The sequence below is a fragment of the Homo sapiens genome, chromosome 6 (genome assembly GCF_000001405.40).
Source record: "Homo sapiens chromosome 6, GRCh38.p14 Primary Assembly".
Taxonomy (NCBI): domain Eukaryota; kingdom Metazoa; phylum Chordata; class Mammalia; order Primates; family Hominidae; genus Homo; species Homo sapiens.
The window spans coordinates 18,155,796-18,180,295 of NC_000006.12; the positions used below are offsets into that span (position 1 = coordinate 18,155,796).

General features: G+C 40.5%; 1 protein-coding gene across 29 annotated transcripts in view, besides 2 other annotated features; it reads left to right on the forward strand.

The window, feature by feature from the left end:
- KDM1B (lysine demethylase 1B) overlaps positions 1-24,500 on the forward strand; it is a 68,433-nt gene that overhangs the window by 374 nt on the left and 43,559 nt on the right. For 8 of the 29 annotated variants that reach the window (NM_001439119.1, NM_001364614.2, NM_001439122.1 and 5 more), the window contains exons 2-7: positions 88-131; positions 4,088-4,187; positions 5,532-5,659; positions 7,040-7,129; positions 10,472-10,583; positions 15,568-15,684. In NM_001439119.1, coding sequence (NP_001426048.1) covers positions 4,101-4,187; positions 5,532-5,659; positions 7,040-7,129; positions 10,472-10,583; positions 15,568-15,684 — 534 coding nt within the window. In that variant the 5' untranslated portion in view covers positions 88-131; positions 4,088-4,100. Of the gene's footprint in view, positions 1-87; positions 132-4,087; positions 4,188-5,531; positions 5,660-7,039; positions 7,130-10,471; positions 10,584-15,567; positions 15,685-24,263; positions 24,291-24,500 lie in introns of all 29 variants that reach the window. The other 21 variants (NM_001439117.1, NM_001439118.1, XM_017010445.3 and 18 more) reach the window with 6 other exon arrangements.
- Positions 328-567: an enhancer, noted in NCBI's record as "active region_24117". NCBI's record gives its function as "activates an Ori minimal core promoter by ATAC-STARR-seq in GM12878 lymphoblastoid cells {active_cell/tissue: GM12878}" and the evidence as "EXISTENCE:reporter gene assay evidence [ECO:0000049][PMID:35858748]".
- Positions 20,480-20,680: a silencer, noted in NCBI's record as "peak5710 fragment used in MPRA reporter construct". NCBI's record gives its function as "represses an SCP1 promoter by STARR-seq MPRAs in K562 erythroleukemia cells {active_cell/tissue: K562}" and the evidence as "EXISTENCE:reporter gene assay evidence [ECO:0000049][PMID:32103011]".

Below are 24,500 nucleotides of genomic sequence, written 5' to 3' on the forward strand. Positions count from 1 at the left end.
GGCTAGGGTGTTGGGGCGTGGGGTCGCCGGGTTCGTCGCGATGTTGCCGGTCGGCTAACCCCCCTACAATGTTTCCTTTCTGTACAGCGGTGCCTTTTCCCCGAGACTCCCGGCACCTCTTCAGCGCAAAGGTGAGCCCCGGGGCAGTTGCTTCTCCGACTTCGAAAAGCTTCCGAAAGCTTCTCGGAAAGCGAGGCGGCTGCAGCTGGCACCGGGAGTTTGGGGCTCCCTCCTGGGGACTGTCAGAGCCGCGGGAGAACCCCACGGTCCTGGAGTAGGAACTCCCTCGCTTGTTCTTCCCGGCCGATAGGGTGCGGCCAGGAGCCCGCACAGCCTTGCAGGTGTTGTAGTAATTCTCTGGCACAGCCACCACGCGTTGAGACTTGATGAGCATTGCCAGGTTGCTGGGGTAACTCCTCTGGGATTGGAGACCTGGAGGAGGGGTGGCCCGATTAGGGTAGCTGTTAGTCAACGGCCGGGCAGCTGACAGGTGAAAGAGGAAGGAAGAGGCCGACCCAGCTGTAGAAAGTTGGGGTTCAGTGATGTGGAAACCAGCCACATAGAAGTCCAGTCTTCCCTTGGGTAAGCCTGCAGGACTCCCCAGTCCACTCCAGTTGGGGAATCCCCCACACCACGTATACACACATAACTCAAGGCTTTGACCAGTTTTGTTTTGTGTTTTTAAATCTATTTTAGTGGCAGAAAGGCGAGTGGGAGAGAAGGCTTCTTCAGGAGGTACATGAGAAAATTACCATCAATAATTATTTGCCTTGCTGGGAGAATCAACAAAAGATATCTAGGCAATTGGGGATTTAATATTGAATCATTGAACTGCATGTTGAATATTGAATAATTCAATATTGAATTATTCAATATTGGGAGGCCGAGGTGGGCGATCACTTGAGGTCAGGAGTACTTCAAGACCAGCCTGGCCAAGGTGGTGAAACCTGGTCTCTACTAAAAATACAAAAATTAGCCGGACGTGGTGGCACACACCTGTAATCCCAGCTACTCGGGAGGCTGAGGCAGAAGAATCGCTTGAACCCAGGAGGTGGATGTTGTAGTGAGCCGAGATCGCACCACTGTACTCCAGCCTGAGCCACGGAGGAAGACTCCGTCTCAAAAAAAAGAAAAAATCTTTTTGAATAAGCTGCTTCAGAAAAACCTAGGGATTATTATAATGAAATCTACATATTGATATATCCACTTATATATTTACCAAAAAATCCCACTTTTTTATCACATTAAAAGAAAACCAAAGCCAAATTTTAAATGCTTGAATTAAAAATTAGAAATATATGTATAATGTTGAGCATGAAACCAATTGGTTATATTTAGGTGTGTTTATTAATTTGAAAAATCAAGAAGGAAGACATTTTAGTATACTAAAAATTTTTTCTTCATTTTAAGACCTAAGGACCCAGCAAGTGGAGATATATAAATTACATCAAGTGCCAAAAGTTCTGAGAATGGATTCATATAACCCTCAATTGTATAAAGTTGAAAATATGCTATCATAAAAACCCTCGATAAGATTTAATAATGGCTTTTATAGCTCATGTTTTCATTTCCTTGTTAACCATTTCTTGAATTCTTTGTTGCATTAAGTACCTATTTTCTAGTATTCAGTTAGATTAAAATGTTTGATGAAATTTCAGGAAACTATACTTTCTTTTGAGAATGCATACCTTCCCAGGTGACAGGGTCAAATGTTGCATGAACCTAGGCTGATTCATTTATGTTCCTAAACCACACATTTGACTTCAGATATTTTTGCTATAATACTTACATATACTATACATTTACAAATACTATATATTTACATATATTTGTGGTTCATGTTATGAATAATGTCAGGTATATTTTATATATAAATGAAGAGATTTGTATATTTATGTATATAATAATTAATATTTATATGTGTCTATGAAGAGATTTGTTAGAGTGGACAGCCTTTTGAAAATAAAGTCCAAAAAGCCTTCTTTGGGTATAACAATTATAGGTAGATAGTCCTTTTTTTTTTTTTTTTTTTTTTGAGATGGAGTCTCACTCTGTTGCCGAGGCTGGAGTGCAGTGGTGTGATCTCGGCTCACTGCAAGCTCCGCCTGCGGGGTTCATGCCATTCTCCTGCCTCAGCCTCCCGAATAGCTGGGACTACAGGTGCCCGCCACCACCCCCGGCTAATTTTTTTGTATTTTTAGTAGAGATGGGGTTTCACCGTGTTAGCCAGGATGGTCTCGATCTCCTGATGTCGTGATCCGCCCACCTCAGCCTCCCAAAGTGCTGGGATTACAGGCGTGAGCCACCGCGCTGGCCGGTGGATAGTACTTTGAACATCATTAGCATTTTCTCCAACAGTATGATAGATGTTGTAGAACTAAATGGCAGTTTATTTAATGCTTAAAGAACTATAGTGCATTTCAGAATATGTAGGGATTATGTGTTCACAGCTAACATAATATTTATTGTTTCTGAGAAAGTGAAGATTAAGTCAAAGGAGGCCGGGCGATAGAGTGAGACTCCTTCACAAAAAAAAAAAAAAAAAAAAAAGTCAAAGGAAAATCATCCGTAACATTGATGTTAGGATGTGTCAAAGTCAATGTAGATGGCAAAATGAGTTTTTCCATAGGATGTTAATAATCCATGAAAAGTACTCTTATGAATGTTAATACAGCTCACAAATATGAAACAATAGGATTACAAGCTCCTTAAAGCTTTTCTCCAAGACTAAGATTATATATCTGGAATTTGTATTTTATGGTTCCACTTTTCCACTTTCAAATTCTTTATCCATAGGTATGTCCTATTTATTTTTCATTTATCATTTTCTGTGTGTATGTGTAGTTAAATCCAATAGATCAAGGAAGGAGATGAATGATAATTATAGATTCTGTATATTACTGAGTACTTATGCTAAGCATTTTTCATTCCTTAATCTAATTGAAAAAAATTCTGTTAGCTCTTAATCTTTCATAGCTGCTACACATTATTTCTCTTGTAGACTTTGGTTCTTAATATATGTTTAACCATGCTGTTATTGGACTAGTTTGGGAAATTTTTTCCAGTAGAAGATACCAGTGCTTCTATCTAATTTAGATCTGTATATTCAGTAGTGACTAGATGGTTTTCTTGATATTTATTTGTTGAGTTGTACTGAAAAGGAATGAATGAGTTTTCTTTTATTTTTTTTGAGATGGAGTCTTGCTCTGTTGCCCAGGCTGGAGTGCAGTAGCACAATCTCGGCTCACTGCAACCTCCGCCTCCCTGGTTCAGGCGATTCTCCTGCCCCAGCCTCCTGAGTAGCTGGAATTACAGGCACGCGCCTCCATGCCTGGCTAATTTTTGTATTTTTAGTACAGACGGGGTTTCACAATGTTGGTCAGACTGGTCTCGAACTCCTGACCTCATGATCCGCCTGCCTGGGCCTTGCAAAGTGCTGGGATTACAAGCATGAACCACTGTGCCCAGCCATGAGTTTTCTTTTTAAAGTGTAATAAGAGATCAAAGTGCAGGAACTGCTAAGAAGACACAGTAAAATGGAGAGGAACATAGGCAAAACTAGGTGGTTTTCCTCATTGAATTTTATAAACATAGTGTGGTTTGTTTATTGGTCATTCATGTGGCATGTTTCTCATTTTGTATCTTTTAATGTGCATAACTACTAATAGGTAATGTTTATTGAGTACTTACGATATGCCAGTTTTGGTGCTTTAAATAGGTTATCTTGTTTAAACTTCATGCCAGTGCTATAGTAAATGCTTATGGTGCCCATTTTATGTGTGAGAACACTGAGGCTTAGAGAGGTTAAGAACTTGAAAATGGTGGCTTGAGCCAGGTGGTGTGGTGACGTGCACCTGTATTCCCAACTACTTGGAGCTGAGGTGGGAGAATCGCTTGAGCCCAGGAGTTCCAGGCTAGCCTGGGCAACATGGCAAGAATGTCTCAAAAGAAAAGAAAGAAAACTGTAGCTTTGTATTTAGGCAATCTGACATACATTCTTACCTACCAAAGTGTATAATAACTTGCTCCAGACTGTTAAAAATATTTGCAGATGCTAATATTTAATGGTCTGATTTTTCTTTTGCAGATTATTTAATGTAATGGCAACTCCACGGGGGAGGACAAAGAAAAAAGCATCTTTTGATCATTCTCCGGATAGCCTTCCTTTGAGGAGCTCCGGTAGGCAGGTAGTGTTCATTTATTCATTCAACAAGCCTTTTTTGAGCATGCAGAATTACTGATTGGGACTGGAGAATTAGAGTTGAAAAGATTACTCCAGCCCTCAAGTTGCTTGTATTCTAGGGGAGAAATTCTCAGTACGGTCATAACACAGTGTGATAACATGATAGAATATACAAAATAGAAGCATTATCTGGCAGAGGGAACTGTAAGTATAAAGGCGTAGAGTGTGAATCAGCATAGGATGTTCAGAGATTCACGGCTGTGTGGTTGCTTCCAGAGTGTGAGGCTGGGGCCAGATCATGCCTGGCTTGGATGTCATTCATAGGAATTTGGACTTCAGCTTGGAATTGGTTGAATGCTATTGGAGGGTTATGTATAGGGCTTTTTGGGTAGGGCTTTTATTCTTTTAAAAGAAAAAATTGAACAATGTAATTCTTTCTCTATAATTTTTCTAGCTTTTTATTTAAAATAGAGGGGGCCAGGCACGGTGGCTTACACCACCTGCAATCCCAGCACTTTGGGAGTCCGAGGCCGGTGGATCACAAGGTCAGGAGATCCAGACCATTCTGGCTAACATGGTGAAACCCCGTCTCTACTAAATATGCAAAAAATTAGCTGGGTGTGGTGGCGGGCGCCTGTAGTCTCAGCTACTCGGGAGGCTGAGGCAGGAGAATGGCGTGAACCTGGGAGGTGGAGCTTGCAGTGAGCAGAGATGGCGCCACTGCATTGCAGCCTGGGCGACAGAGTGAGACTCTGTCTCAAAAAAAAAAATAGAGGGTATAACTGCTCTAAATAAAGAAAAAACAAATCTCAATTTGGGGAATGACTTTTTTTTTTTTGACTCATGTCACTTTTTTTTTTTTTTTTTTTCCAGACAATCTCCTCTATCCCCCAGGCTGGAGTACAGTGACACAATCGTGTGTGCCACAATGCCTGGTTGATTTTTTTTTATTTTTAGTAGAGAGGAGGTCTCGGTATGTTGCCCAGGCTGGTCTTGGACTCCTGAGCTTAAGTGATCCTTCCACCTCAGCCACCCAAAGTGCTGGGGATTACAGGCATGAGCCACCACACCCAGCTGATGTCACTTTTTTCTAAGAAAGACTCATATGAATTTAGTTCTTTGCTTAGACATCTGTTGTTAAAATGCTATTTCTATATCTCTAGCAAGTTAGTAAATTACTTGCACAATGCAGTCACCAGGAAATTGCTGTATTGTCATCCCTAACCTACTGCCATGATGTTTTTGACCTTCATGTTTAGAACTCAGCTGTGATTTCAGTAGTGAACCTTCATCCTTAGTCATTTTGCCATCATCAGTGAAATTTTAACATCAGCTGTGACTCCCTTAGGCGAAGAAGAAAGCAACAGAGACAACAGATGAGGATGAAGATGGTGGCTCAGAGAAGAAGTACAGGAAATGTGAAAAGGCAGGCTGTACGGCAACATGTCCTGTGTGCTTTGCAAGTGCTTCTGAAAGGTCTGTTTAGATGTGTGTCTTGGCCTCCCATTTCTGCTTGTGAGAAGTTCTTTGTGGAAACATCATCCTTGTAGATAGTTTTCCTAAAGATAGATACAGATACTATAAGTCATCTAATCTAATAATAGAGACATTGCCCAGACATTCTGTACACACCACACCCTCCTCAAGGCCCTCCCTACTTATCCCTAGCCTACTGGGAGAGGCCACACCCATGTCAATTTTGCAACACAGTGTCCTCAAATCCAGCCAACCATATCTACCTCTCCAAGGGTTGAGGGTGGGATGGTGTATGTCGTGGTGAGACAGTAGAGAGAACTCATGAGCTTTCTGTAGACACCAGTGTTTGTTTACTTTTCGTTGTGTTTTTCTCTCTCATATAACATGCCACCTCTTCCCATACGCACATACAGGTCTCATAGAAACTACAGCTAACTGCAGCCTTGCCATTTTTATTGTGGGGTGACACAAGTATGATCTTCTTTTTTTTTTTCTTTTTTACTTCCAGAGGAAAATATTCAATTAAGGGTTAAGGTTCAATAAAATCGAGAAAACAAATCCTATTTGTTTTTAAACACAAAGAGGGCCAGGCATGGTGGCATGCGCCTGTAATCCCAGCACTTTGAGAGACCAAGATGGGCGGATCAGTTGAGGTCAGGAGTTCCAGACCAGCCTGGCCAACATGGTGAAACCCTGTCTCTACTAAAAATACACAAATTAGCTGGGCACGGTGGCAGAAGCCTGTAATCCCAGCCACTCAGGAGGCTGAGGCATGAGAATCGCTTGAACCCAGGAGGCAGAGGTTGCAATGAGCCTGAGATCGTGCCACTGTACTCCAGCCTGAGTGACAGAGCAAGACTCCATCTCAAATAAATAAAAAAATATTAAAAATAAACACAAAGACGTGGTGATCGTGTTCATAGTGGCATGATTTTTCATTCTCTTGCTATATTATCAACTGTTTGACAAGTTATCTTTGCCAAATTGCCTGCTTGATGTTCAGATTTCAGCTGACCAGATTCCCTCGCTGTTCAGTACTGGGCCCCACGTTATTCTCTCATGTCCACATATGCAGCCTGCAGCAAGCACAGTGGCATCTGTCCTTTTGTGTCATAAAACCCTATCATTGCCCCAAGGAGTCTTCTTAAGACTGCTAAGCCCCAGGCAGCCAGCTAGGTTAGGTCCCATGGCCTAAGTCCCTGCATCCTTCCTGTGTGTTATTATCTACTAGTAATCCATTCCTGTTTCCCCTGTCCTTAAGGGGCTAAGTGGAGATAATGCAAAATGGGTTCATAGATGGTGCTTGCAAGATGTTTTTTAAAAAATGGGAGGAGAAATGTTTATTCATTACCAAAGCTATATGTTTTTCACTATTTTCAGATGTGCCAAAAATGGCTACACCTCCCGATGGTATCATCTCTCCTGTGGGGAACATTTCTGTAATGAATGCTTTGACCATTACTACAGAAGGTATGTTCACTAATTGTGTGAGGTTTCCCTGGAGAAGGGGACCGTGGCAGGGGCAGTGCGTGTGGTCAGCTGATTAAAGCTTAGTCTCGAGGCTTACTGAATTATTCAGCTCTTTCAGCCATGCCTGTGATGACTGTAACTTGGACGAGAACTTTGATGTTGTAGTTTGTGTGCATGTTTGTGTGTGTGCACACTCAGGGATCAAAAAATATCTGCCATTTCTTTTTTTTTTTTTTTTGAGGCAAGAGTCTTGCCTAGGCTGGAGTGTAGAGACATAATTTCAGCTTACTGCAACCTCCAACTTCTGGGTTCCTTAATAGAGATGGGGTCTCGCCATGTTGTCCAGGCTGGTCTCAAACTCCTGGGCTCAAAAGATCTGCCTGCCTTGGCCTCCCAAAGTGCTGGGATTACAGGCGTGAGCCACTGCACCCAGCGAAACAGTTATTTCTTGAGTCAAAGTTCTGGAACATCTAGGAGATGTTGATTCTATTTTATTGTTTTCGATTTCATTTGTGCTCTAATTTTTATTTTTTACTTGTGTTTGCTTTAGGTTTAATTTTTTATTTCTCTAGTTTCATAAATTAGTAGCTTCAATTATTTATTTTTAGATCTTTCTTCTTTTCCAATAAATGCGTTTTTAAATGCCATAAATTTCTGTCCAAGTAGGTTGTGATATTTCACAAATTTTGACAACTTTTATTTTAATTTAGTTCAAAATATTTTTAAATTTCCATTGAGTTTTCCTTTTTGATCTATAGATTATTTAGAAGTAAATTGTTTAATTTACAAATATTTGGGACACCTCCAGCAATTTTTCTGTTACTGATTTCTAGTTTAGTTCAGCAATGGTCTGAGAATATACTTTGTATGATTTCTACGTTTTAAATTTGTCAAAGTTTGCTTTATGGCCCGTAATGTAGTGTATCTTGGTAAATGTCCTGCATGCAGTGGAGAAAAATGTGTATTTTGCTATTGTCAGGTGGGTCTATCAGTGTCAACTAGACCAAGTTGATTGATAGTGCAGTTCAGGTCATATATATATATATATACACACACATACATACATCTTTCTGATTTACTCCTACCTGATCTTTCAGTTACTAAGAAAAGTGTCTTAAAGTCTGCAATTATAATTGTCTCTTAACATTTCCAACTATAATGCAGATATGTCTATTTTTCCTTTCAGTTCTATATATTTTTACCTCATGTATTTTTTTTCTTGAGATGGAGTCTCGCTCTGTTGCCCAGGCTGGAGTGCAGTGGTGCGATCTGGACTCACTGTAACTTCCACCTCCTGAGTTCAAGCCATTCTTCTGCCTTAGCCTTCCAAGTAGCTGGGATTACAGGCGTGCACTACCGCACCTGGCTGATTTTTGTATTGTTAATAGAGACAGGACTTCATCATGTTGGTATGGCTGGCCTTGAATTCCTGACCTTGGGTGATCTGCCTGCCTCAGCCTCCCAAAGTGCTGGGATTATAGCACTTTGGTGGTAGCTCGAGCCACCACGCCTGGCCGTCATGTATTTTTAAGCTCTGTTGTTAACATTGTACATCTAACATTGTTGTGGATTCTCTCAAAATTGACCCCTTTGTGTAATATCCCTTGTCTTATCCCTGATAATATTCATTATTCACATAAATATGGCTGCCTCAGCTTTTTTAATGTTAGCATGATACACCTTTCTTTGTTTCTTTACTTTTTACCTTTCTGAGTCTTTGTATTTAGAGTAGGTTTCTTTTCTTTTCTTTTGAGACAGGGTCTTGCTCTGGAGTGCAGTGGCGTGATCTTGGCTCACTGCAACTTCCGCCTCCTGGGTTCAAGTGATTCTCGTGCCTCAGCCTCCTGAGTAGCTGGGATTACAGGTGTGCGCCACCATGCCCAGCTAATTTTTGTATTTTTAGTAGAGGCTGGGTTTCCCCATGTTGGCCAGGCTGGTCTCAAACTCCTGGCCTCATGTGATCCTCCCACCTTGTCCTCCCAAAGTGCTGGGATTACAGGTGTGAGGCTCCATGCCCGGCCTAGAGGAGATTTCTCATTTACACTTATAGTTTTTTTGTAATCCCACTGACAATCTCTTTTAATCTGTATGTTTATGCTATTCATGTTTTAAGTGATTGTTGATATAACTGGATTAAAATATCTTGCTAGCTGTTTTCCATATGGTGCATTTTATTCTTTTTCCCCTTCCTCTGCCTTCTCTGATTTTTTTTTTTTTTTTTTTTTTTGAGACAGAATCTTACTCTGTCCCCCAGGCTGGAGTGCAGTGGCGTAATCTCGGCTCACTGCAAGCTCTGCCTCCCAAGTTCACACCATTCTGCCTCAGCCTCCCAAGTAGCTGGGACTACAGGCACCCGCTACCACACCTGGCTAATTTTTTGTATTTTTAGTAGAGACGGGGTTTCACTGTGTTAGCCAGGATGGTCTCGATCTCCTGACCTGGTGATCTGCCTGCCTTGGCCTCCCAAAGTGCTGGGATTACAGGCGTGAGCCACCGTACCCCGCCGCCTTCTCTGATTTTAATTGAGCATTTTTATGATTGTATTGTATTTCATCTACTGATGTAATTTTTAATGGCTGCCCTAGGATTTACTACATACATTAAAAAAATATTCTAGGCTAGGTGCAGTGGCTCACGCCTATAATCCCAGCACTTTGGAAGGTTGAGGTGGGCAGATCTCTTGAGGTTAGGAGTTCGGGACCAGCCTGGCCAACATGACGAAACCCCATCTCTACTAAAAATACAAAAGTTAGCCAGGCATGGTGGCAGGTGCCTTTAATCCCAGCTATTTGGAGGTTGAGGCATAAGAATCCCTTGAACCCAGGAGGTGGAGGTTGCAGTGAGCCAAGATTGTGCCATTGCGCTGCAGCCTGGGTGACAGAGTGAGACTCCATCTCAAAAGAAATTTAAAAAAATAATAAAAAAATAAAAATATTCGGAACTGGTTCCAGCTACTTGGGAGCCTGAGGCAGAAGGATCGCTTGAGCTTGGGAGTTCGAGGTTGCAGCACACCATGATTCATGATTGCAGCTGTGAACAGTCACTGTACTCCAGCCTGAGCAACATAGCAACACCCTGTATCAAGGGGAAAAAAAAGAAAAAAATTTAATTTCTCTTTCAAATAACACTATGCCTTTCTTAGTTTTAGATACTAAAACTGACAAGAATATACCCCTTCTGACAGCCTGTTTTATGGGTGCCATAATAACTTTCTCTACTTTTATAACAAGGCTAGTTATGTTTGTTACGTAAGATTTACTAACCTGCCTCCTGTTTTGAAAAACCTGATTGCTTATAGCAATCGATATATTAATCGATATATTAATTTTTCTTGTTTTTCAGCCATAAGGATGGATATGACAAATATACTACATGGAAAAAAATATGGACTAGCAATGGCAAAACCGAACCTAGTCCCAAAGCTTTCATGGCAGACCAGCAACTCCCCTACTGGGTAAGGAGAGTGATGCTCTCTGTCTGTGAAGTATTTGTGGAGCCAAATGCAAGAGGCATGGATGAAAATGCTGTTTAGGAAATCTCCTATTACATTTATTGTTCCTTCTATGACTATTAAAGCAAATATTTTTTATTTTTATAGAAAGCTGAGATATTTCAACATAGTATAAAAGAGGAAACTAGGCTGGGTTTGGTGGCTCATACTTGTAATCCTAGCCCTTTGGTAGGCTGAGGTGGGAAGACTGCTTTGCGCCCAGCCTGGGCAAAGTGAGACCCTATCTCATAGTAAGACCCCATCTTTACAAAAAAAAATTTTTTTTTTAAGTAGGCAAGAATGGTGGCAGGTGTCTGTAGTCCCATCTACTCATCAGGTTGAGGTTGGGGAATTGCTTGAGCTCAGGAGTTCAAGGCTGTAGTGAGCTATGATTACACCACTACACTCCAGCCTGGATGACAGAGTGAGAGGCTGTCTCAAAAAAAAAAAAATGGTTTTAAAAAAGAAAAAACTAAAGGCTCACCACCAGCTGGTGATAGTCATTGCTGAGCTTGGTACATAGCTTTTTGATCCTTTTTTTCTTTTCATATTTTTGTCTGTTTAAACACAATTTCATGCTTTATATACATATACTGATTAGGTTTAAAATCAGGCTTCAGATACGATTTTTGTAATGTTTAGCTTTTTAAAAATTAATTTGGGCCAGGGCTGTGGCTCACACCTGTCATCCTAGCACTTTGGGAGGCTGAGGTGGGCAGATCACAAGGTCTAGAAATCAAGACCATCCTGGCCAACATGGGGAAACCCCGTCTCTACTAAAAAAATACAAAAATTAGCCGGGCGTGGTGGCGCGCGCCTGTTGTCCCAGCTACTTGGGAGGCTGAGGCAGGAGAATCGCTTGAACCCAGGAAGCGGAGGTTGCAATGAGCTGAGATCGTGCCACTGCACTCCAGCCTGGTGACAGAGTGGGACTCTGTCTCAAAAAAAGAAAAAAAAAATTAAATTGACCTCATATTCTTTTTTCATTTAGTCATTCTTTGAAAATATATTTTCATTATTGCATATATTGTTGAAATATACCACCATTTAATAAATGATTTGCTATTTTTTTTTTCTGAGACAGGGTCTCACTCTGTTGCCCAGGCTGTAGTGCAGTGGCACAATCTTAGCTCACTACAACCTCCACCTCCCGGGCTCAAGCGATTCTCCCACCTCAGCCTCCCTAATAGCTGGGACTCTCCGCACATGCTACCACGCCCAGCTGACTTTTGTATTTTTTGTAGAGATGGGGTTTCACCATGTTGCCCAGGCTGGTCTTAAATTCCTAGGCTCAAGTGATCCACCTGCCTCAGCCTCCCACAGTGCTGGGATTACAGACATGAGCCACAATGCCCAATTTTTTTTTAAGATGGGGCCTTGCTCTGTCGTTCAGGCTAGAGTGCAGTTGTGGGATTATGACTCACTGCAGCCTCGGTCTCCCAGGCTCAAGTGATCCTCCCACCTCAGCCGGCAGAGCAGCTGGAACTATAGAGTGCACCACCATGTCCAGCTAATTTGTTAATTCTTTATAGAGACAGGACTCGATATCTTGCCCAGGCTGGTCTCAAATACTGGACTCAAGCAATCCTCCCACTTCAGCCTCTCAAAGTGTTAGGATTACAGGTGTGAGCCACTGTACCTGGCCAATTTGCTAATTTTAAAAATATTATAAGTAATGCTGAGCTTTGTGCACGCTTAAAGATTTTTTCATTGAAGTAAAATTCGTATAACATAAAATTAACCATTTTAAATTGTGCAGTTCAGTGGCACTTAGTATATTCACAATGTTATGCAATTACCACCCCTATCTAATTCCAAAGTATTTTCATCACGCACAAGGGAAGCCCTAATTCTTGCTACCCCCAGTTCCTGGTAACCGCTAATCTGCTTTCTGTGTTTATGGATTTATCTATTTTGGATGTTTCATATGAATGGAATCGTGCAACATGTAAACTTTTGTATCTGACCTTTTTCACCTAATGTAATGTTTTTGAGATTCATATCCATTGTAGGATGTGTCAGTACTTCATTCTTTTTTATGGGTGAATAATACTCCATTGAATGGATATGCCACAGTTTTTTTAAGCATTCATCTATTGATGGACATCTAGATCATTTCAAGCGTTTAGCAATTGTGAATAGTGCTGCAGTGAACATTCTTGTAGAAGTATTTGTTTGACTACCTGCTTGCAATTCTTGGGTATGTACCTAGAAATATAATTGCTAGATCATATTTGGTAATTATATGGGACCTCAAACTCTTTTCCATAGTTCCTGTACCATTTTTCATTCCTGTCTGTAGCATATGAGGGTTCTGATTTTTCCACGGGTTTGAAGTGGTATCTCATGGTGGTTTTAATTTGCATTTCCCTAATGACTAATGCAACCTTTCGTATGCTTGTTGTCCATTTGTATATCTTTGGAGAAATATCTGTTAACATCCTTTGCCCATTTTTGTTTTGTTTTGTCGTCTTTGAGATGGAGTCTTGCTCTGTCACCCAGGCTGGAGTGCAGTGGTGCGATCTTGGCTCGCTGCAACCTCTGCCTTCTGGGTTCAAGCCATTCTCCTGCCTCTGCCACCTGAGCAGCTGGGATTATAGGTGTGTGCCACCACCCTGGGCTAATTTTTGTATTTTTAGTAGAGACGGAGTTTCATCATGTTGGCCAGGCTGGTCTCGAACTCCTGATGTCAGGTGATCTGCTCGCCTCGGCGTCCCAAAGTGCTGGGATTACAGATGTGAGCCACCTCGCCCAGTCTTCCTTTGCCTTTTTTAAAGTTGTCTTTTTGTAGTTGAGTTGTAAGAATTATATATATATAAATTTTTTTTTTTTTTTTGAGATGGAGTTTCGCTCTTGTCACCCAGGCTGCAGTGCAATGGTGCCATCTCTGGCTCACTGCAACCTTTGCCTTCTGGGTTCAGGTGATTCTTCTGCCTCAGCCTCCCAAGTAGCTGGGATTACAGGCACCCGCCACCACACCTGGCTAATTTTAGTAGAGATGGGGTTTCACCATGTTGGCCAGGCAGGTCTCAAACTGCTGACCTCAGGTCATCTGCCTGCCTCAGCTTCCCAAAGTTCTGGGATTATAGGCGTGAGCCACCGTGCCTGGCCTTTTTATATATTTTGGATACTAAACCCTTATTAGATCTATGATTTGCAAGTATTTTTTCCTATAGGTTGTTGTCTTCCTTTGGTAGAGCCCATTGATGCCCAAAGGTTTTTAATTTTGAGGAAGTTCAATTTATCTGTTTTTTTCTTTTGTTGCTTTTGGTGTTACCGCTTATAATTCGTTGCCAAATTCAAGGTCATAAAGGTTTACTTTCTTTTCTAAGAGTTCTGTTGTTTGAGTGCTTACGTTTAGGTATTATTTTATCTATTTTGAATTAATATTTGTATATGTGTAAAGTAGGGTGTCTAACTTCATTCTTTTGCATATGGATATCTGCATGCTTTTAAAAAATAAACTTTATTTTGGAATCATCTTTTTAAAATTATTTATTTATTTATTTTTTTGAGACAGAGTCTTGCTCTGTTGCCCAGGCTGGGGTGCATTGGTACGATCTCAGCTCACTGCAACCTCCACCTCCCAGTTCAAGCGATTCTCCTGCCTCAGCCTCCTGAGTAGCTGCGATTACAGGCATGCACCCCCACGCCCAGCTAATTTTTTTATATTTTTAGTAGAGATGGGGTTTCACCATGTTGGCCAGGCTGGTCTTGAGCTCCTGACCTCAGGTGATTCACCTGCCTCAGCCTCCCAAAGTGCAGGCGTGAGACACTGCACCAAGTCTGGAATCATTTTAAATTTACTGAGTTGCTAAGATAGTACAGAGAGTTTCCATATATCCTTCATGCAGCTTCCCTTAATGTTGTCATCTTACATACCATGATTATTTGTCAAAGTAAGAAATTAACTTTGGCATAGTACTAATAACTGTAGACTTTATTTGGATTTCATCAGTTTCTTCACTAATGTTCTTTTACTGTTCTAGGATCCAACGCAGCATACCACATTGCATTTAGTATGCATGCTTTTTGACTAACTGAAAGTAAATTTCAGTTTATTTTACGCTGATTTTTTTTTTTTAGACAGGGTCTCAGTCTGTTTCCCGGGCTGGAGTGCAGTGGTATAATCTCAGCTCACTGCAGCCTTGACCTCCCCAGGCTCAAGCCATCCTCTCACCTCAGCCTCCTGAGTAGCTGGGACTACAGGCATGCACCACCGCACCTGTCTGCTTTTGTATTTTTTGTAGAGACAGGATGTCACTATGTTGCCCAGGCTAGTCTGGAACTCCTGGGCTCAAGCAGTCTGCCTGCCTCAGCCTCCTAAAGTGCTGAGATTACAGGTGTGAGCCACCATGCCTGGCCCTGATTGTTTCTTTAGGTTAGAGCTGGAAAACCTTTCTCTTTTTTTTTTCCTTTTTTTTGAGACGGAGTCTTGCTCCGTTGCCCAGGCTGGAGTGTAGTGGTGCGATCTCGGCTCACTGCAAGCTTCGCCTCCCGGGTTCATGCCATTCTCCTGCCTCAGCCTCCTGAGTAGCTGGGACTACAGGCGCCCGCCACCACGCCTGGCTAACTTTTTGTATTTTTAGTAGAGACGGGGTTTCACCGTGTTAGCCAGGATGGTCTGGATTTCCTGACCTCGTGATCCGCCCGCCTTGGCCTCCCAAAGTGCTGGGATTACAGGCGTGAGCCACTGCACCTGGCCTAGAAAACCTTTCTGACAACAAAACTCAGATCCCCTTGGCACTTTCCTCACCCTGAGGAAGTATTAAATCAGAAATTATCCTAATGGGGTGAAAGTGAATTATATGGATGATGGTAATGCAAGGAGGAGAAAAAATACTTAGGATTGCTAACAGGTTGGAGAAGATGACCAAGTGGTGGAGGATAGAAATGGTAACTGAAGATTAGCTCACTTGTTCATCTTGACTTGATACTTCCCATCTAGGTTCAGTGTACAAAACCTGAGTGTAGAAAATGGAGGCAGCTTACCAAGGAAATCCAGCTTACTCCACAGATAGCCAAGACTTATCGATGCGGTATGAAACCAAATACTGCTATTAAGGTATGTTCTCTTTTTGCTTTTGAGTTAATTGATATATTAATGTAGTCAGTAAATAGTAATGGTGTATATGTTTTTCATGTATTGTGTTGATCATTCTGTCAAGGTTGTATTTGCATGCATGTAATAGAACCCCAACTATAATGGCTTAACCAATTAAGGATTTTACTTTTCCGTCATTATAAGCAGTTAAGACATAGGTAAGCAGTTAAGACATAGGCTGTCCAGGGTTGGTTTTGTTGCCCAAGGAAATCTCTTTGTAGCTTCCACTCCAGCCACCTGTAGTCTAACTTCATCCTGAAGGCCACAAGGTAGTTGCTATACCACCAGTCATGTGTCCAAATCCTAAGCAGAAAAGGGGGAAAGGTCAAAGGGCAAGAGGGGAGTATCAGCTGAGCCTGTCCCTCTTTTCCTGGGGGAAACAGGAGCTTTCCTGGAAGTTCCTTCAGTAGATTTCTATTTATATCTCATTGGCGAGAACAGGATCATGCAGCTACTCTGGTTTTAATTTTTTTGCTAGTTTTGGTTTGTTTCGTTTTTATATAATGATGTTGACACCATAAATGCAGCTTCCCTAACTATAGTGAGGACAGAGGAAGAAAATATTTTACGACTGAGGATGTTGCAACACTAAACAAAGCCGGATCCTATTAGTGAGGAAGAAAAGATTAATTGATATGCTTGGCAATTAGGAATCGGCCATCGTTGTTATAATGTGCCTTTTTTGAAATTTGGCAATTACTTACTGTTTAAAAACCTATTATTATTGCTTTAGTGCGTTAAGGGTGTTAGTCTACACAAATGCCACTGGTACCTGCAGTACATTAAAGAATATTAGGAATCCTTTTAATCTCAGAGGTAAAATACTTTGTTTCTAGAAATTGAGATAAAATTCACATATTATAAAATTCACCCTTTTAAAGCATACAATTGAGTGGCTGTGGTGCAGGTTGAGCACCCTAGTCTGAAAATCTGAAATGTTCCAAAATCTGAAACTTTTTGAGCTCTGAGATGATGCTCAGAGGTTCTGCTCAAAGGAAATGTTCACTGGAGCATTTTAGATTTTCAGATTAGGGATGCCCAACCAGTAAGTATGTTGCAAACATTCCAAAATCCAAAACACTTCTGGTCCCAAGCATTTCAAATAAGAGAAATTCAACCTGGGATTCAAAATATAAACATCATATTTTTATAACGCCTGGAATTCAGTAAAAGCCTGGGATTCAAAATATAAACATAATATTCTATTTCATTATATTTATAATAAACTATATAGTTTATTTTCTGTGCCTGGCCTATTCGTTTCTTATGAATAAAAACATATTAGGAGTGGTTGGGCGCGGTGGCTCACACCTGTAATCCCAGCACTTTGGGAGGCCGAGATGGGCGGATCACCCGAGGTCAGGAGTTCAAGACCAGCCTGGCCAACATGTTGAAACCCTGTCTCTAGTAAAAATATAAAAATTAGCCCAGTGTGGTGGCATGTGCTTGTAATCTCAGCTACTCGGGAGGCTAAGGTAGGAGAATCACTTGAACCCGGGAGGTGGAGGTTGCAGTGAGCTGAGATCATGCCATTGCACTCCAGCCTGGGCAACAAGAGTGAAACTCCATCTCAAAAAAAAAAAAAAAAGTGTAATCAGTGAGTTATATCATAAATTTATGTTTAATGTTTGCAAAACTACCAAATGTCTTTCCATGGTTGTACCATACTACAACATTTTGTAGTGTTATTCTTTTTTAAAAAATTTAATTATAGCCATTCTAATGGGTATGTACTAGTATCATTGTAGGGTTAGTTTGCATTTCCCTACTAACTGGTGATCTTGAGTATATTTTCATATGCTTATTGGCCATGCATTTCTCTTTGGAAAATGTCTGATCAAGTTTTTTTTAAATTGGGTTTTATTGATTTGTAGTTCTTTATGTAATCTGGATATAACCATGTATTTTGAATATTTTTTCCCCCCAGTTTGTGTTAAGCCTTTTCATTTTCTGAATAGGTCTTTTATGAGGAATTTTCCATTTTGAAGTGTAGTTTATTCACTTTTTCATTTATGCTTAGAACTTTTTGTGTCTTTTCTGAGAAATCATTGGTTACCTTTCACCTTGTAAACATACTCTGTGATTTCTTTGAGGTGCCTTATAGTTTTCATCTTTACTTTTAGATCACTAGCTCAAGTTTTTTTTTGTTTTTGATGTGAGAGGTAGGCCAACATTCAATTTTTTCCATACAGATATTTAGTTGTTCATTACCGTTTGCTAAAAAGACTGTATTTTTCACTTTGTATTATCTTAGCACCATTGCTTTATTTTATTTTATTTTATTTTAGATGGAGTCTTGCTCTGTTGCCCAGGCTGGAGTGCAGTGGCTCGATCTCGGCTCACTGCAACCTCCGCCTCCCGGGTTCAAGCGATTCTCCTGCCTCAGCCTCCCAAGTAGCTGGGACTACAGGCACACACCACCACACCTGGCTAATTTTTGTATTATTAGTAAAGAGAGGGTTTCACCATGTTGGCCAGGCTGGTCTCGGACTCCTGACCTCGTGATCCACCTGCCTTGGCCTCCCAAAGTGTTGGGATTACAGGCGTGAGCCACTGCGCCCGGCCCTATCTTAGCACCATTATAAAAAAATCAATTGGCCGTATGTGTGTAAGTCTGTTTCTGGACCCTGTTGCATTAATCTGTTTTTTACCCAATGCTCTGCTGTCATGATTATTGTATCTGTATAGTAAGTCTTAAAATCAGGTAGTATACATTCTTCTAACTTTTTTTTTGTTTTCAAGATTGTTTTGGCTATTCTAGGACCCTTATATTTCCATGTAAATATCAACTTCTTAGTATCCAATAAAAAGCCTCTGGGTTTTTTATTGGAATGCATTGAATCTATGGGTCATTTGGAGAAGTGACATCTTTACATTTTTCAGTCCTCTAAGGGGTTGGTAAATGATGGCTCATGGGCCAAATCTGGCTGATACGTATTTATTTTTATTTATTTTTATTTTTCTGTAGGTTATTGGGGTACAGGTGGTGTTTGGTTATATAAGTTCTTTAGCGGTGATTTGTGAAATTTGGTGCACCCATCACCCGAGCAGTATACACTGCACCCTGTTTGTAGCCGTTTGTCCCTAGCCCCCCTTCTACTTTTCCCCCCAAGTCCCCAAAGTTCATTGTGTCATTCATATGCCTTTGTGTCCTCATAGCTTAGCTTCCACATATCAGTGAGAACATATGGTGTTTGGTTTTCCATTCCTGAGTTACTTCACTTAGAATAATAGTCTCCTATCTCATCCAGGTTGCTGCAAATGCCGTTAATTCATTCCTTTTCATGGCTGAGTAGTAGTCCATCATATATATATGTGTATGTATGTATGTACACATACGCACACACTGCAGTTTCTTTATCCACTTGTTGATTGGTGGGCATTTGGGTGGGTTCCACAATTTTGCAATTGTGAACTGTGCTGCTATAAACATGCATATGGAAGTATGTTTTTTGTATAATGACTTCTTTTCCTCTGGATACCCAGTAGTGGAATTGCTGGATCAAATGGTAGTTCTGCATTTAGTTCTTTAAGGAATCTCCACACTGTTTTCCATAGTGGCTGTACTAGTTTACATTCCCACCAGCAGTATAGAAATGTTCCCTGTTCACTGCATCCGCACCAACATCTACTGTGGTTTGATATTTTTATTATGGCCATTCTTGCAGGAGTAAGGTGGTATCACATTGTGGTTTCGACTTGCGTTTCCCCAATCGTTAGTGATGTTGAGCATTTTTTCATATGTTTGTTGGCCATTTATATATCTACTTTGAGAATTGTCTATTCATATCCTTAGCCCACTTTTTGATGGGGTTGTTTTTCTCTTAATGATTTGTTTGAGTTCATTGTAGATTCTGGATAGTAGTCCTTTGTCAGATGTATAGGTTGTGAAGATTTTCTCCCACTCTCTGGGTTGTCTGTTTACTCTGCTGATTGTTCCTTTTGCCTTGCAAAAGCTCTTTAAAGTCCCAGTTATTTATCTTTGTTTTTATTGTATTTGGATTTGGGTTCTTGGTCATGAAATCCTTGCCTAAGCAAGTGTCTAGAAAGGTTTTTCTAGTATTTCTTCTAGAATTTTTGTAGTTTCAGGTCCTAGATTTGTCCTTAATCCATCTTGAGTTGATTTTTGTGTGAGATATGAGGATCCAGTTTTCCTCCCCTAAATGTGGCTAGCCAATTATCCCAGCACCATTTGTTGTAAAGAGTGTCCTTTCCCCACTTTATGTTTTTGTTTGCTTTGTTGAAGATCAGTTGGCTCTAAGTATTTGGGTTTATTTCTGGGTTCTCTATTCTGTTTCATTGGTCTATGTGCCTATTTTTATACCAGTACCATGCTGTTTTGGTGACTATGGCCTTATAGTATAGTTTGAAATCAGGTAGTGTGATGCCTCCAGATTTATTCTTTTGCTTTGTCTTGCTTTGGCTATGCGGGCTCTTTTTTGGTTCCATATGAGTTTTAGAATTTTTTCTAATTATGTGATGAATGATAGTAGTATTTTGATGGGGATTGCTTTTAACTTGTAGATTGCTTTTGGCAATATGGTCATTTTCACAACATTGATTCTACCCATCCGTGAGCATCCATTTGTTTGTGTTGTCTATGATTTCTTCCAGCAGTGTTTTGTAGTTTTCCTTGTAGAGGTCTTTAGACTCCTTGGTTAGGTTTATTCCTAAGTATTTTATTTTATTTTGCAGCTATTGGTAAAGGGGTTGAGTTCTTGATTTGACTCTCTGCTTGGTCGCTGTTGGTGTATAGAAGAGCTACTGATCTGTGTACATTAATCTTGTATCTGGAAACTTTGCTAACTTCTTTTATCAGTTCTAGGAGCCTTCTGGAAGAGTCCTTAGGATTTTCGGGGTAAACGATCATATCATCAGCAAACAGTGACAGTTTGACTTCCTCTTTACCGATTTGGATGCCCTTTATCTCTTTCTCTTGTCTGATTGCTCTGGCTAGGACTTCTAGTACTATGTTGAAGAGGAGTGGTGAGATTGGGCATCCTTGTTTTGTTCCAGGTCTCAGAGGGAATGCTTTCAACTCTTCCCCATTCAGTATTATGTTGTCTGTGGGTTTGTCATAGATGGCTTTTATTACATTGAGGTATGTCCCTTGTATGCCGATTTTGCTGAGAGTTTTAATCATAAAGCGTTGCTGGATTTTGTCCAGTGCTTTTTCTGCATCTATTGAGATGATCATGTGATTTTTGTTTTTAATTCTGTTTATGTGGTATATCACATTTATTGATTTGCATATGTTAAACCATCCCTACATCCCTGGTATGAAACCCACTTGATCATGGTGGATTATCTTTTTGATATGTTGTTGGATTCAGTTAGCTAGTATTTTGTTAAGCATCTACATTAGCTAGTATTTTGTTAGCGTCTATGTTCATCAGGAATATTGGTCTGTAGTTTTCGTTTTTGGTTATGTCCTTTCCTGGTTTTGGTATTAGGGTGATGCTGGCTTCATAAAATGAATTAGGGAGGGTTCCTCTTTATCTTGTGGAATAGTGTCAAAAGGATTGGTACCAATTCTTCAAATGTCTGGTAGAATTCTGCTGTGAATCCATCTGGTCCTGGACTTTTTTTGTTGGTAATCTTTTAATTACCATTTCAATCTCACTACTTGTTATTGGCCTGTTCAGGGTATCTAATCCTTCCTGATTTAAGCTAGGAGGGTTGTATTTTTCCAGGAATTTGTCCATGTCTTCTAGGTTTTCTAGATTATGTGCGTAAAAGTGTTAGTAGTAGCCTCGAATGATCTTTTGTATTTCAGTGGTGTCAGTTGTAATATCTTTTTTTTTCTTAATGAAGTTATTTGGATTTTCTCCTTTTCTTGGTTAATCTTGCTAATTGTCTATCAACTTTATTTATCTTTTCAAAGAACCAGCTTTTTGTTTCATTTAACTTTTGTATTTTTTTTTGTTTCAATTTCATTTAGTTCTTGTCTGATCTCGGTTATTTCCTTTCTTCTGCTGGGCTTGGGTTTGGTTTGTTCCTGTTTCTCTAGTTCCTTGAGGCCACACCTATTTATTTATTTATTTATTTATTTTTAATTTTAAAAATTTTCTGTAGTGACAGGGTCTTGCTCTATTGCCCAGGCTGGTCTTGAACTCTTGGCCTCAAGTGATCCTCCCTTCCCAGCCTCCCAAAGTGCTGGGATTACAGGCGTTAGCCACCGCACCTGGCACCACACCTGTTTTGTAAATATGGTTTTAATTGGGACATAGCCATGCTCATTCCTGCTCCTGGTACCACACCTGTTTTGTAAATAAAGTTTTAATTGGGACATAGCCATGCTCATTGTTATGTATTGGCTGCTTTTATGCTACAATGACAGTATTTGCGACAGAGCCCAGAATATTTACTATGTGGTTCCTTACAGAAAATGTTTCCTGACCCCTTTTCTGACCCATGGGCATGGTATCTGTCTCCATCTTTTTGAGGTTAATGTCTCCCAACAGTGTTTTCTAATATTCACTGAGGATATCTTTTGTGCCTTTGTTCAATTTATTTCTAGATACTTAATTTTTTTTCCTGTAATTGTAGATAAAATTGATTGATTGATTGATTTTTTTGTTTTGGACGGAGTCTCACTCTGTCATCCAGGCTGGAGTGCAGTGGCACCATATTGGCTCACTGCAACCACCATCTCCTGGGTTCAAGCAATTCTCCTGCCTCAGCCTCCTGAGTAGCTGGGATTACAGGCACCCACCACCACGCCCAGCTAATTTTTTTTACATTTTTAGTAGAGATGGGGTTTCACCACATTGGCCAGGCTGGTCTCGAACTCCTGAACTCAGGTGATCTGCCTGCCTTGGCCTTCCAAAGTGCTGGGATTACAGGCATGAGCCACCGCACCCGGCCTATTTTTTATTATTTATTTATTTTTTGAAACAGAGTCTTGCTTTGTCGCCAGGCTGAAGTGCAATGGCACGATCTCGGCTCACTGCAACCTCCGCCTCCCAGGTTCAAGCAATTCTTCTGCCTCAGCCTCCCGAGTAGCAGGGACTACAGGCACACATCACCATGCCTGGCTAATTTTTTGTATTTTAGTAGAGACAGGGCTTCCCCATGTTGGCCAGGCTGGTCTCGAACTCCTGACCTCGTGATCTACCTGCCTTGGCCTCCCAAAGTGCTGGGATTATAGGTGTGAGCCACTGCACCCAGCCAATAAAATTTATTTTTAACTCCATTTTCAAGTTGTGCACTGTTGCAACTATATAGAAACACAATTGACTTGTATATTGGCCTTGTACCCAGAGACTTTGTTAACTTCACTTACTAAGTTTCATAGATCTTTTTCATAGATTCCTTTGGGTTGTCTGCAAATCAGTCATACAAATAATCATGATTGTCTACAAACCTCTTCTCAGTCTTTTTGCCCTTTTTCTTGCCTTACTACATTGGTCAGGACCACCAGTGATAGTGTTCTATAGAAGTGATGAGAGCAGACAACCTTGCCTTGTTCCTGACTTCAGGAGGAATGTGTTCAGTATCGTCATATACAGTGTTGGCTATAGCTCTTTGTAGACATTCTTTATGAGATGGAGCAGTCTCCTTTTCTTTTCCTAATTTGCTGATAACTTTTTATGATGAATAGATATTGGCTAATAGTTTTCCTGCATCTTTTATGATGACCATTGCATTTTCTTCTTTAATCAGCAAATGTAATGAATTATACCAATTTGGGAATGTTGAATCAATGTTGCATTCCTGGGGGAAAAAAATCCATTTGTTTTTAATATATTGTTCTTTTTATATATTCCCAGATTTGATTAAATTTTGTTAAAGATTTTTGCATCTGTGTTTGTCTTGGATACTTTGTTACTTTCCTTTCTTGTAATAACCTTGTCGGGTTCTGCTTTCAGAGTTATGCTGGCTCTGTGAAACGAGCAGTATATCCTCTTTTCTATTTTGTTGTATAGGTTTGATATTACTTCTTTTTTTGTGTTTGGTTGAATTCACTAATGAAACAATTTGGGCCAGTAGTTTTCTTTGTAAAAAGTTAGGAATTACAAATTCAGTTTCTTTAACAGATATATGGCCATCTAGGTGGTTTATGACTTCTTTCCATTTTGGAAGGTTGTGTTTTTCAAGCAGTTTGTCTTTTTCATCTATGTTGTCACATTTTTAACTTAAAGTTGTTTGTACTGTTCCCTTGTTCTCCTTTTAACGTTGGTGGGCTTTGTCTCGGTATCCTTTCTTTTATTCTTGATGTTGGTGATTTGAGAGTGAGGGAGGGGAAGCATTGACCTGAGCCTGGGATTAGATTCCTGAAATTGGTAAGAGCTATTCCAAAATCTTTCAATTTAGCATTGGTTTTTTTTCCTTTTTTTTTTTTTTTTTTTTTTTTTTTTCATAAGGCAGGGTCTCACTCTGTCTCCCAGGCCAGAGTACAGTGGCATAATCCTGGTTTACTGCAGCCTTTACTTCCTGGGCTCAGGTGATTCTGCCACCGTAGTCTCCTGAGTAGCTGGGACTACAGGTGTGTGCCACTGTGCTTCACTAATTTTTGTATTTTTTTTTTTTTTTAATAGAGACGGGGTTTTGCTGTCTTGCCCAGGGTGAGGCCCTTGATTGATTCTGGAACTCAACTTTAAGAGTTGAAGGCCTCTCTGAGAAGAGGAAGAGAAAAGAGAAAATGGGAAGGAGCTGACATGAGGGCGTGGGCAGTTCATTTCCAGGCTGCGTGGCTGCACTGATGGGAGCTGGGAACTGAGCAATGAAAATACCATGAACAGGCAGAGGGGAGCGTGTCCAGCTTGCAGGAACAA